The sequence below is a fragment of the Homo sapiens genome, chromosome 1, assembly GCF_000001405.40.
Source record: "Homo sapiens chromosome 1, GRCh38.p14 Primary Assembly".
In the NCBI taxonomy this organism is placed as follows: Eukaryota; Metazoa; Chordata; class Mammalia; order Primates; family Hominidae; genus Homo; species Homo sapiens.
The window spans coordinates 58,868,150-58,881,948 of record NC_000001.11 but is presented as its reverse complement, the minus strand read 5'-3'; the positions used below and the strand labels follow the sequence as shown (position 1 = coordinate 58,881,948).

The 13,799-nt window shown below is 41.5% G+C and overlaps 1 long non-coding RNA gene across 3 annotated transcripts in view; it reads right to left on the bottom strand.

Annotated features, from left to right (window-relative positions):
• JUN-DT (JUN divergent transcript) overlaps window positions 1–13,799 on the bottom strand; it is a 114,562-nt gene that overhangs the window by 17,764 nt on the left and 82,999 nt on the right. The window lies entirely within an intron of this gene.

Genomic DNA, 13,799 nt, shown 5'->3' with positions numbered 1-13,799 from the left:
TGCCCAGTCAACATCTGTTGAGTAAACAGATAAAATGACTTATTATCTAATTTTATCCCCCAAGACCCCAGAGAGATACACCATCCTATAGATGGAGGAAAAACTGAATACAGAGTTCAGTGAGTGGCCTGGCAATCAGTGGCTAAGCCAGGCATCTTGGAACCTGTGGTGATGACCTTTCTGCTAGATTTCACAACACAGGCCACTCTGGTTCGGGTGGGATGACATTGCTTTCCTGGACATGACTCAGCTTTCCCTGGGGGTCACTGAACCCAGCCATCAGCCTTCACACTGAGTCATGGGCTGAGGTGAACTTCAGACCTGAGGAGGGAGCAGGGCTGCCCTGCCAGGTGGGTGTGCCCAGGGATCCCTCAGTCCAGCTGAGCACACCACCTGGGAAATCCTTCATGGGGTGAAGATGGGGCGGGGACAAGGATGTCACACCAGATCCACACCCATCTCCCACAAGAGCGTCTAAAGAGCAACACCTATCCCGTCACTGTGACTGGTGGGCTCTGACTCAGAGGTGCCCCTTCTCCATCCCCAATGTCACGTCCTCAGCATTGACTCCAATCATCTTTTGTTCTGCCTGGACTCCTAGCCTCCACTCTATCAACCTTCTTTTCAAAGAAGTTAAGTGATTTGCCATAACCACACATTATGAATATCATGTACTTATGTTCAGAAATTCTTGACTGGCTCCCTACTACCTGGAAAATAAAATCTAAACCCCTGGCTCAGCACTCAAGGTCCTCTTGCTGAAGCCTCAGCCTACTTTTCCTGTTTTTTTCCTCTGTACACCCTTGAATCCTTCATTTTAGATCAGTCTGTGTGTTGCCATTCTACAGAGTTGCCCTTTACTTTCCCTTCTCCTTGCCCTTGCTAATATACTAACTCACTTTCATCTGGAATGTCCTTCCCATGTCTTATCCATTCTTCGGATCTGAGCTTAAAATCCGCCTTATTCAGGAAGCCCTCCCAGATCTCCTCAGCCCAAACACTGGGATAATGCCAGCTATGTTTATTGATAATTTCTGTTGTGCAAATTGTTATGATCAGTACTTTATATGCTTCATTTCAGTTGATATTTCCAGCAGCCTTATAGCTAAATGAGTATTTATTACCCCATTTTATAGATGTGGTAACTGAGACTCAGAGAGGAGAGCTAACTTGTCCACACCTACATTCCTCTTGAGATTCAAAGGCCAGTGTGCCTGACTCCAAGTTGCTCCATGACTTTGGTTCGTACTTCCAATGTTCTTTGCACCTCTTTGAGGTACTCATGTTGTTGGGTGTTGTATTTTCCTAGGGGACTCATCCACTCAGTTCTACTGTGATCTTCCTGAAGACAAGTGAGTAGCTCTGTATGTAGTGTCTGACATAGACTGGGCTGTGAGGCAGAAAGCAAGAGCGAGAGAGTGAGAGTTATGAAGCACCGCCATGTGCTAGTCCATGCTAGTTACCATAAACATACATACATAGCTTTTAAGTGTTGTTAGTCTCATTTTACAGAAGAAACAGAGGCACAGAGAGGCTAAATAACTTGACAAAATCTATGAGAAAAAAAGTGGGGTAGACCTACATGGAATCATCTCAAAAATATAACATTAAGTGAAAAACACAAAAAATGGAGTGCCTGTTGGCATCATGTGCTCTCATTAGGGAAAATAGAAACATATTAAAACATATATATGCTTGTTTATGCTGAGACTGCTTTAGGGACACAGAAGAAACTGCTTCGGGGAGGTGACAAAGGAGGGCCTTAGAGGAATAGAGACTGGAGGGTTGAGGGAGACTTATTTTTTTAATCATCTAACAGTTTGAGTTTAAATAGGTATTTTTAGTTATTTGCATGTATGTCTTTCTCAAAAATAAAATTTGCTTATTTAAAATATGGATTCATGAAAATTTTTGAAGATCAAACATTCCAAAAAGAATTTAGCCTTGGGCTTTTCTGGCTCCAGGAATCTTTATATTATAACCATCTCATTTCTGACATACAGGCATACCTCGGACATATCGTGGGTTCAGTTGCAGACCACAGCCATAAAGCGAATATCACAAGACAGTAAGTCACACAAATTTTTATCTTCTCAGTGCATATAAAAGTTATGTTTATACTATACTATAGTCTTTTAAGTGTTCAATAGCATTATGTCTTTAAAAACACTGTATATACCTTAATTAAAAACTACTTTATTGCTAAAACAAAAAAAAATGGTAACCATCATTTGAGCCTTCAGTGTGTTGTAATCTTGCTGGTGGAGAATCTTGCCTTGATGTTGATGGCTACTGACTCATCTTAGTGGTGGTGGTTGAAGATTGGTGTGGCTGCAGCAATTTCTTAAAATAAGGCAACAGTAAAGTTTACTGCATCGACTGATGTTTCCTTTCATTCCATCTCTGATGACAGATTTCTCTGTAGCATGCGATGCTATTTCATAGCATTTTATCCACAGTAGAATTTTTTCAAAATTGGAGCTAATCCTCTCAGGTCCTTCCATTGCTTTATCAACTAAGTTTAGGTAATATTCTAATCCTTTGTTGTCATTTCAACAATGGTAACAGCATCTTTACCAGGAGTAGTTTCCTTCTCAAGAAACTACTTTCTTTGCTCATCCATAAAAAGCAACTCCTCATTCATTCAAGTTTCATTATGAGATTGCAGCAATTCAGTCCCATCTTCAGCCTCCACTTCTAATTCTAGCTCTCTTGCTATTTTTGCCACATTGCAGTGATTTCCTCCACTGAAGTCTTGAACCTCTCAAAGTAATCCATCAGAGTTAGATTCTACTTCTGCCAAACTCATATTAATGCTGATATTTTGACCTCCCATGAATCACAAGTGTTCTTAATGGCACCAAGAATGGTGAATCCTTTCCAGAGTGTTTTAAATGTACTTTGCCCAGATCCATCAGAGGAATCACTATCTATGAAAGCTATAGCCTTATGAAATGTATTTCTTAAATAATAAGACTTGAAAGTTGAAATTACTTCTTGATCCATGGCCTGCAGAATGGATGTTGTGTTAACAGGTATGAAAACATTTATCTTCTTGTACATCTCCATTAGAGATCTTGGGTGACCAGGCGAATTGCCAGTGAGCAGTAACAACTTGAAAGGAATCTTTTCCTGAGCAGTAGGTCTCAATGGTGGGCTTAAAATATTTAGTAAACCATGCTGTAAACAAATGCGCTGTCATCTAGCTTTGATGTTTCATTTGTAGAGCACAGGCAGAGTAGATTTAGCCTAATTCTTAAGGGCCCTAGGGTTTTGGAATTGGTAAATGAGCATTGGCTTCAACTTAAAGTCACCAGCTGCATTAGCCCTTAATAAAAGTCAATCTGCCCTTTGAAGCTTTGAAGCCAGGCATTGACTTCTCCTCTTTTGCTATGAAACATAGATGGCATCTTCTTCCAATAGAAGGCTGTTTCATTTACATTGAAAAGTCTGTTGTTTAGTGTAGCCACTTTCATCAATGATCTTAGCTAAATCTTCTGGATAACTTGCTGCAGCTTCTACATCAGCACTTGCTACTTCATCTTCCACTTTATGAGATTGAGACTTCTTTCCTTAAACCTCATGAACCAATGTCTGCTAGCTTCAAACTTTTCTTCTGCAGCTTCCTCACTCTCAGCCTCCATAGAATGAAAGAGAGTTAGGGCCTTGCTCTGGATGAGGCTTTAACTTAAGGGAATGTTGTGGCTGGTTTGACCTTCTATCTAGACCACTAAAACTTTCTCCATCTCAGCAATAAGGCTGTTTAACTTTCTTATGACTTGTATGTTGACTGGAATAGTGCTTTTAATTTTCCTCAGGAACTTTTCTTCCACATTCACAACTTGGCAAACTGTTTGGTGCAAGAGACCTAGATTTCAGCCTATCTCAGCTTTCAAGATGCCTTCCTCATTAAGCTTTATTATTTCTAGCTTTTGATTTAAAATGAGAGATGTGACTCTTCCTTTCACTTGAACATTTAGAGGCCATTGTAGGGTTATTAATTGGCTTAATTTCAACATTGTTGTGTCTTAGGCAATAGGGAGACCCGAGGAGAGGGAGGAAGATGGGGAATAGCCGGTTGGTGAATTATGTTCACCACCTTATATGGGAGCAGCTTGTGACACCTTAAAACAATGACAATAGTAACATCAAAGATCACTAATAGCAGATCACCATAACAGATATAATAATAATGAAAACATTTGAAATATTGAGAGAATTACCAAAATGTGACACAGAGGCGTGCCTGAAGTGAGCACATGCTATTGGACAAATGGCACTGATAGACTGCTCGGCGCAGGGTTGCCAAAAACCTTCAATTTGTTTAAAAAAAAATCTGCAAAGCACAATAAAATGAAGCTCAATAAAACTAGGCATGCCTGTAGTTGGAGAAAATCTTCATACATGGTATTATGAGAATTATGGTCAGCTGTATATGAAAGAAAACTCACAATCACTTAAATGTCAATAAGAATAGCATCACTTAAATGGCAATAAGAATAATATCAACCTCACGGTTGCTGAGTCGCTTACATAGCATCATTAGACATATGAAAAATTAATTTTGATAATATATGTGATATATAACCATGATGTTTAATTCTCTCACATAATAACAGAAGTCAAGATGGAAATAATCCTGGACTGAAATCCCAGATTCTTTCTAACTTGTTGTTGTGCCATCCTCAACATATGGCTCTGCCATCCTCAACATCCTAACTGGTCCAAGATGGCTGCTCCATTAAGCAAGAAGGATGAAGAGCAGGACAAAGGGTATGGCCTTGGCATTTAAGAACACTTCTCAGAAGTTGCAAACCCCACTTTTGCTTACATCTCATGAACCAGCACTTAGTTACCTGGCAATACCTGGCTGTAATGGAGCCCCGACATTGCAAGATTTCATTTTCAGCATCCACATGCCCAGCTAAAAATCAGGTGTTCTGGATGGGTACAGTGGCTCATGCCTGTAATCACAACACTTTGGGAGAGACCAAGGCAGGAGGATTGCTTGAGGCCAGGAGTTTGAGGCTGCAGTGAGCCATGATCATGCCACTGCACTCCAGCCTAGGCAACAGAGTGACATCCTGTCTCTAAAATAAAATTTTAAAAAATTAAAAAATAAATCAAGGGTTGTATTGTTAAGGAGGAAGGGGAGAGTAGTTATTTGGGAACAGCCAGCCTGTCTCTACCGCAGACATGAATGCTTTGCTTTCAGAATTTATCTGCCCTGCTCTCTAAAACTGATGTACTACTGGATATATTTCACATTTCTGACATACTCCTGGGCCCTCTATAGAGAACATTAAAACACATTGAGAGAAAACAACTAACTTCCCATTAAAGGCCCAATTTCTAAACCAAATCATCAATGGGCTTTCTCAGAAGGAAGGTCCAATTATATGATTCTGGGCAAATGAATTACCCTTCCTAAGTCATGTGAACTTGGGCAAGTCATTTACCACTCTAAGCCCATTGTGTATCACTTAAATGGCAACGAGAACAATATCTACCTCACAGAGTTGCTGAGTGGCTTTACAAAGCATCATGAGACACATGAAAAATTAATTTTGATAATATATGTTATTTAACCCAAAATATCCTAAATCTTTTCAACCTATAGCCATTTCAACCTATAACCAAAATCATTTAAACCTATAACCAATTTAAATTACTAATGAGATAAATACATTCCATTTTTCACACTAAGACTTTGAAATTTAGTGTGTGTTTTATCCTGACAACACAGATCAGTCACATTTCATGTGTTCTCTAGCCGCGGGTGGCTGCCAAGTTGGACCGGGCAGGTTGAGACTAATTTAAGTGTCCTTGCTGGGTGCTCCCTTAGCACCCTATACTTACAAGTGAAGAAGTCATCCTTTCTGTGGCAAATGTCCGTTTACTTGGTTTATCCACAAGCAATTCCCTTGAGGAGATGGAATAAGAGGTACCCCCAGGGCCTACATAGTACCTAGCACAGAGCAGACACTCAATAAATACTTGTTAAACAAATATTATTCATTTCTCTATCCCCAGTGCTCAGCCCAGTGCTTGACCCTCAGTAGGCATTTAATAAAGACTTACTAAATTAATGAAGTCACGACCCAACATTTTAATGGTAAGTGAATTTGCAATTTGACAGCAGGTGAAAACCTGGCAGTTTATTGCAGAGGAGACAATGGTACCTTTCTAACCCTCAAAGTAACACCTGCCGTTAAGTCAAATTTCCTTCACTGCCTCCTTTCTCCCAAACAGAACTGGAGCCAGATGGGAAGCCATGGGCCTTTCCATTCCAGTAAAATCGCACAATGCCTGGTCTGCAATGATAAGCAAGCATATCAAGTTCCCATGAACAAATAAAATTAACTTTCAGTGAGGGCCAAATTTCTCCATTTCACTGTATCTCTTTTTCTTATCAGAGTGTGCAAGGTAAGAGGCTCTGAAAGGTTGCCAGTCGCTGTCTGATTGAAATCTAGGGAGCTTTACAATAATGCTGATAGTAATTAAAACGATCAGACATTTCAACCTCAGCACTGCACCACCACTTACTAGTTAAATGAACTGAAGTAACTTATGTGTCGTCCATGAACATTCATTTTCTCATCTGTAAGATAGCCAGACTTATCTGGCCATGCTGCTGTGAGGACCCTGTAAGAACAGAGCTCCCCACACATGCTGGTGCTCAGTGAGTGGCAACTTGCATCATTCCCGCAGCAACCTGGCACGGCTCTCTGAATGGTATTTGCAAAGTGAGACTTAGCATTATTTTTGTCTTGACAATCAGCCATAGGCCAGATGATTTCCTTAAAGTTGTTTCGAGCTGCCCCCACCCCCTTTGTGGACAACTAAAACACAAACACTATTTAGAAAGATCTGGGCCGAGTCATTTCTTTGGAGCCTGGTGGCAGGCCAGGAGGCTGATCACAAAGGCAGCATTCAGCTGCAACAACAGCAGCCTGGTGGGCAGGGGCCTTGTCCCAAACATTCTTGACTAGGCTTCTTGGGGGAAGGTGTTACCGGCCTGCAAATATTTGTTGCTCTATTTCCATAGCAACTACAGTGGCCATAGTGAAACCCTGAAACTGCACATCGAAACTTGGGAGGTGCCGCAAAGCCAAGCCTGTTTGGGAGGAGGCTTTCTCCTGGACCCTTCCCTCCCCTAAAACTGAAGACTTTTCCAGGATTCTTTCAAAGGGCATTAAAGAGAAGCTATTGTGCCAGCTGCACACAGCCTACTGCCTGCTCTGAGGAAGATGTATGGGCAAAGACTGTTGCCAATTGCCCATGATAAGCTTTAAGAGACTTTAAGCCAAAATGAGTGCCTGCCTGTTTTCTGCAGAGCTTTTGCAGCATGGTGTGCTGAGTCTGGCTCTGGCACAGAACAGTAACACCACCTGTGCAACCTCAGGGAAGTTGCTCACTGTCCCTGAGTCTTTTCCTCAGCAAAAAATGCAATTAAGCCCAATTTAATAAACTCATATTGATGTCTACTCTGAGCTAGATGCTGAGATTACAAAGCTGAAAACACCAGGCTATTCCCCTCAGGGAACTCAGATAGCCTATCAGGCAGAACTGTATTAAATATTAAGTTGGATCATACCAGGTACCCACTGCCTGGCACCCAGTGAGATCTGTTGTACTATAAAAGTTTATTTCCCTTCTTCTTCAAACCAGGCTACTCTAAAGAAAGCCCTGAAAGATGATCAAGGGCCCATGCATTTTTATAACATTCTTCTTGTACCCAAGATAAATTTATCAGTTTTGGACATGATCGTTTACTGATTGTGTACATTATATCTTCATTATAACATGCTTTCATGATCCATACCTCACTGGACTTTCTTAACCATCTGCTGTATTTGGAAGGATAAGAATGGGTGTTTTCACTTCAGAGTGAAGACACTGAGGCACAAAGGTGAAGTGATTTGTCCAGGTCGCAGTAGGAATTCGAACATACATTTTCCAACTTATTCTTTCAGTAAATATTTCTTGAGTAGCTGCTAGGTGCCAACATTGTTCTAGACACTGGGGTCAAAGGCAGTGAATAAAACAAATTTGCATTAAATAGTTCAAGTTCTAGGGGAAGGAAGCAGACTGCTAACAAACACATAAACGCAGACTACATTAAGAAGTGATAAGCACAGTGGAGAAAAAAGTCAGCAGAGTAGAGATGATAGCATTGCTTGATACTATTAATAGTTTATATAGATTGCCTGGGAAGTACTTTCTGAGGAGGCTGGGGAGAAGTGAGGAGCTGGCCCTGTGGATACCATGGTGGAAAAGTGTCCAGGTAGGAGGAAGAGCAAGGCGTGAGGCCCTGAGGTGGGAACACGTTGGCACATTGTAGAGCAGCCAGAAGGCAGGCATGGCTGTAGCAGCAGCAGAATAGGGAGGTTGGCAGGAGAGGAAGCCAAGGAGAAGTGAGTAGTCCAGTTCATGGGGAACTTGTAGGGCATGGAATTCATGTTGGGTTTTACCCCAGGTGAGATGGGAGTCGTTGGAGGGCTTTGGGCAAAGCAGTGGCCACAGTGTGATTCAGCAGGTTAAAAAAGATCCTGCTGACTCCCACATGAACAACAGTCTGAAGGGCAGCAAGGATGGAAACAGGGAGACCAATTGTTAAGAGGCTACTGCAACCATTGAGGCAAGAAAGGAGCATGGCTGCCTGAAGTGATGAGAAGTGTCAGATTCTGGATCTATTCCTCAGGAAAAGGCTTCAGGATCTGCTGATGGTTTGAAGTTGGGGTGTGAGCAGGAAGAGCCCCTGATGACTCCAGGGCTAAGTAACTGGAAGAATGAAGTTGCTATGTCCAGAGATGAAAAAATCTCAGAGAGGAGCAGGTTAATGATAATCAAGATGTTTCTTTTTTCTTCTTTTTCTTCTTTTTAATAGAGATGGAGTCTCGCTCTGTTGCCTAGGCTGGAGTGCAGTGGTGCGATCTCGGCTCACTGCCAACCTCCGCCTCCCAAGTTCAAGCGATTCTCTTGCGTCAGCCTCCCGAGCAGCTGGGACTACAGGCACGTCACCACGTCCAGCTATTTTTTTTTTTTTTCAGTAGAGATGGGGTTTCGCCATGTTGGCCAGGCTGTTCTCAAACTCGTGACCTCAGGTGGTCTGCTTGCTCCAGCCTCCCAAAGTGCTGGGTTACACCACACCCAGCCAGGATGTTTCTCTTAAATATGTTACATTTGAGGTGCATACTGGAGCTCCCATGGAGAGGGCAGGGAAGGTGGAAAGAGGCAAGTTGAAGAGATTCTTTTGCCATTCTTCAGATTACATGTTATTTAAAGTCATAGACCTCAGTCAAAATCCCCAAGGGATTAAATGGAGGTAGAGAAGAGGACCAGTCCTTGGAGTGCTACAATGCATGGAGTTAGTAAGAGGAAGAGGACCCGGCAAGAAAGCTATGAAGGAGGGGCTTGCTAAGGTAGGAAGAAAACCCAGAGACTCCCGTCCTGGAAGTCGAATGAAGAGTTTTAAGAAAAGAGTGACCCAAAGGGTCAAATCAGTCATTGGTTAGGGTGACAAGTGAGAACTGACTTCCGGATTTGGCAAAGAATGATCCTTAGTGATCTTGACAATATCTGTTTGGGTGAAGTGAAGGTAAAAGCCTGATCGAGTAAGTTCAAGAGAATAGGAGGAGAGAAAGCAGAGAGTGCAAGCAGGTCCAACTCTTTGGGGAGTTTATCTGGAAAGAGGAACAGAGAAACAAGGAGGGGATGGGGATCAACACAGAATTTCATTTTAAAACATAGCTGGCTTCATAGCATGTTTTTGCATTGATGGGAATGGTCTACCAGAGAAGGAGAAGTTAATGAGGCAGGGGGGCCCTGGTATAGGGTCAATCCTCGGGAGTAGATAAGAGGAATGGGATCAATTTCAATCCCTAGAATGTCTTCTACTAAAATGACATGGCCTTTTATTCATAAAAGCATACATCTGGGGATAATTTTAAACTGCTTTCAAATGCAAACATTTCTTTTAATTACACAGCATAAGTTTACCAGGAGGTGTCAAAATATTGCCCAATGGATCATGGAGAACCTACCTTAGTGAACACAATGAGTTAGCCACTCTTCCTACTGGGTTCCCTCAGTATTGTTATACACCTAATTGCAGGTTATTTATGTGGCAGGCTTCCCTGGTAGATATGAACTCCCCACAGGGAGGGACTGTGTTCTGTTCCTGTCCTGCAGCCCCATGCCTAGCAAATGCATCTTCACAAACCATTTGGGAAAGGAAGGAGAAGAAGGAATAAAAAGAAAGAAAGTGAGAATTGGATCATCCTGCCCTTTTGAACCTCTCTACTTTCAAATGAGGCATGAGCCTGATACTATTTTGGAAACATATCTTCCCAATAGTAGAGTGAGGAAACTATTTATTTTCTTTTTAATTTGTGAAACACAAAGGAAGACAAGGAAGGGAATGAACATTTATTGAGTGTCCACAATGTACTAGGTACTCTACTAGCCAGTCACTTGAGTGATCTCTTTTACAGATAACCAACATGATTAGGAAAAAACTCCATTTTGCACACTAAGTCACCAGCACCACCATTAAGGTTAAATTGTCATGTGATGAAAGGGGATGCCCCATATAGCAGTGAGCTTTCCATCAATGGAGTTACATAAGCAAAAGCTGGATAATATCTATGGGGAAATCCCAGCACGTAATGGTCATTGGGCTTTATTAACTTATGGACCAATCCAATCCTGGGATTCAACGAGTCCAAATTATATAATTCTATAGGTGTATAATTGATACTTCAGGGTTTCTCATCATCCAAATATGAACACATACAAGTGTTATGTCAAGAGGCAATGCTGGCATAGTACTTCAATATGCAGATGCTGAGGTCAGACTGCTGGGGACAATATCTTGCTCTGCTGCTTACGAACCAGACTATGTGCCTCAGTTCCCTCATCTGTAAAATAAGAATAATAATAGGATAGACCACAATCTAAACTTCATTTAAAGTGCTTAGAACAGCATCTGGCATATAGTAAGTGCTCAGTAAATGGTGGCTATTATTTATTCAGTTCAACCAACTCATAGACTGCACCACCCTGGGACCCATGGGTATCTGTTTTGGCCTACTCTTACACATTAAACCAAAGCCAACTCCAACTAGAAAGGTTGGGCTCAGCAGACAGAAGCCCTTGGGAACTGAGTTACTTTGATGGGGGTACCAGCAGCCCCAGCCAAATGGCCCCCTTCCTGCTCCACAATCATACCCATCTGCCCTGGCTGGGCAATGTGCAGAGATGTTTATGGCGACCTCATTTATTTTCCTTTCTGTGACTGCTGCCTTCCAAAGGCCAGGAACTGCTGAAATTAAACCAAGGCAGGGGCCAGGGGAGCAGACAGGGCCTGGGCCAGGGCCAGGAGTAATGAAGTGGAAAATGTTCACACCACAGGCAGCATTACAATGCACCTGTACAAATAGAATGAGACCTGCCCACCCCCTTCCTCCCGGGGGCCCAACTGCCTTGCTGACTTCTCTTTATGGCTTCACTCTCTGCCTTGCCTGGTCAGTGCTTAGGCCTACAATGAAGATAAGAAACAAAGACACCTAGAGTGGAGCAATTAGAGAAGGGACAAAATCAGAAGCAAGTGAAAACAGAGATACCCTTAGCTCACACATTTCCTGAAAATTGCGGCAAGTTCTCTGAAGGCCCAGTCATCTAAAACATGGGAGAAATACAGCACAGTTAATGAGTGCCAACCACGCACTAGGATTTTAGCAAGGCACTTTCATATACCTTTGCACATTCCATTCATCCAGTACAGTTTAGCTCCATGTCACAGACAAGGAAACTGAAGCCTAAGAAGACAAAGCTGGCAGGTGGCCAAATCAAGATTTGAACCCAGGTTATTATCATTCCTATTTTATAATGAAGTTACTCAGAACCAGGGTGGTAAGTGACTTTCTCAAAGCCACATAGCTGTAGAGTGAAAACCCAGAGGTCCTGGGCTTTTGGGGTGGTGGTCACCATGGCACTAGCCAACAGGAAGGAGGCTTAAGAGAGATATGTAGGCCAGACCATCCTTGAACAGTTGGGGCAGTAAAGATGAAGGGTTTGGCTTCCCCAAGAAAGAGAGGCATGGGGCCATACTGCTACCATGATGGAAGACAGAGAGAGGACAAAGGCTAACCTTTGACCCATGTTTTATAGTTTTTGAAGCAGTGTGACTCTGGATGAGTCTCTCAATCTCACTGTGGCTCAGCTTCTCCATCTCCAAAATAGGAATTCTGTGAGCCTTAAGTGACGTGGTATATCTAAGGCCCAAAGATCTGTTGTTTGTCACCTCTCCCAGACTCAGTCACTTCACTGCCAGCTCCAACTGTAGGTGAGCAGAATGTCCGATCCAGAATCCATGCCTCCTAAGTGTTTGTTGTGTAAAAAAATGACTGAAAGATGAATAATGTCATCTTTCCATAATGTTTATCAGTATATCATGGTCTTATCTTTCTCAGAACTATTATAACCCAGTTGCTCCTAAGGCAAATTTTCCCAATCATATTTTGTGAAATGCTAGCAATCCTTGAGGTAGCCTTTGTCCTGAATAATTAAAAATAAAGAGTAAAAAATAATTTTGAGATACTTTGCTAAAATATAATTTAATGCATATACAGTTAACCCTTGAACAACACGGATCTGAACTGCATGGGTCTGCTTCTGCCTCTGCCACTCCTGAGACAGCAAGACCAAGACCAACCATTCTTCGTCCTCTTCCTCCTCAGCCTGCTCAATGTGAAGATGACAAGGATGAAGTTCTTTACGATGATTTACTTCCACTTAATAGTAAATATATTTTCGTTATAATTTTCTTAAGGAAATTCTTTTATTTTACTTTATTATATGAATATAGTATATAATACGTATAACAAAAATATGTGTTGACTATGTTATCAGTAAGGCTTCTGGTCACTAGTAGGCTATCAGCAGTTACATTTTTGGGGAGTTAAAAGTTATACATGGATGTTCAACTGTGCAGGGGAGTCAGTGTTCCTCACTTCCATGTGGTTCAAGGGTCAACTGTACATAAGAAGTACGTGCATGTGTGTATTCCTTATTATTACAGCATAGGATGCATAGTGCTGTGGTTTAAAAAAAAAAAAGGATGAGAAATGGCACACCTTAAATTAGAATGCCTGGTGGTCTTATGAGAGATTCCTGATTTACAAACCTGGAACATTCTGCTATAAAATGATACATAGGCGGCTCTAAACAACTCATTTATATTGCCTTTTGGATGATTGTCAGTCTATGTTATATATATATTTCTTATAAGAGCACCATGTATTTCTGATATTAATCCGTGTTTGTTGTGCATTAAACATATGAATCACTGTGATCATTTCTTGCAACAATTAAATCAGACATACTTTTCATTCCTCTTTTAATCCAAATGTACATTATATTTGTAGGTTCCTTTTGGTATTTCATCAATATGTTAATACTATTTTTCCTAGGTTTCCTACGTAAATAAATTTGAAAAGTACTATCCTTATGGAGGCGTATCATTGAATTGCTCCTGCCTCAACTTCCTGGTTTCCTTGGGGAAACAGACATTTAGAAATGGAGGGAAAAGTGTATGGGGGGTTATAGGTAATAAAATGAGGTTCCACAAAAGTTAAAGTTTTAAAAGAAATGAACCTCTTATAAATCCACTATTAACCAGGATGGCAAGGGAGCTGTAAAACATAGATAGATAAACAGAAATGAGCTTGTAAAGGATAGAAAGTCCTGCGCTAGGTTTAAAACAGAACCAGCAGTTTGTCTATATAAAAGACAGG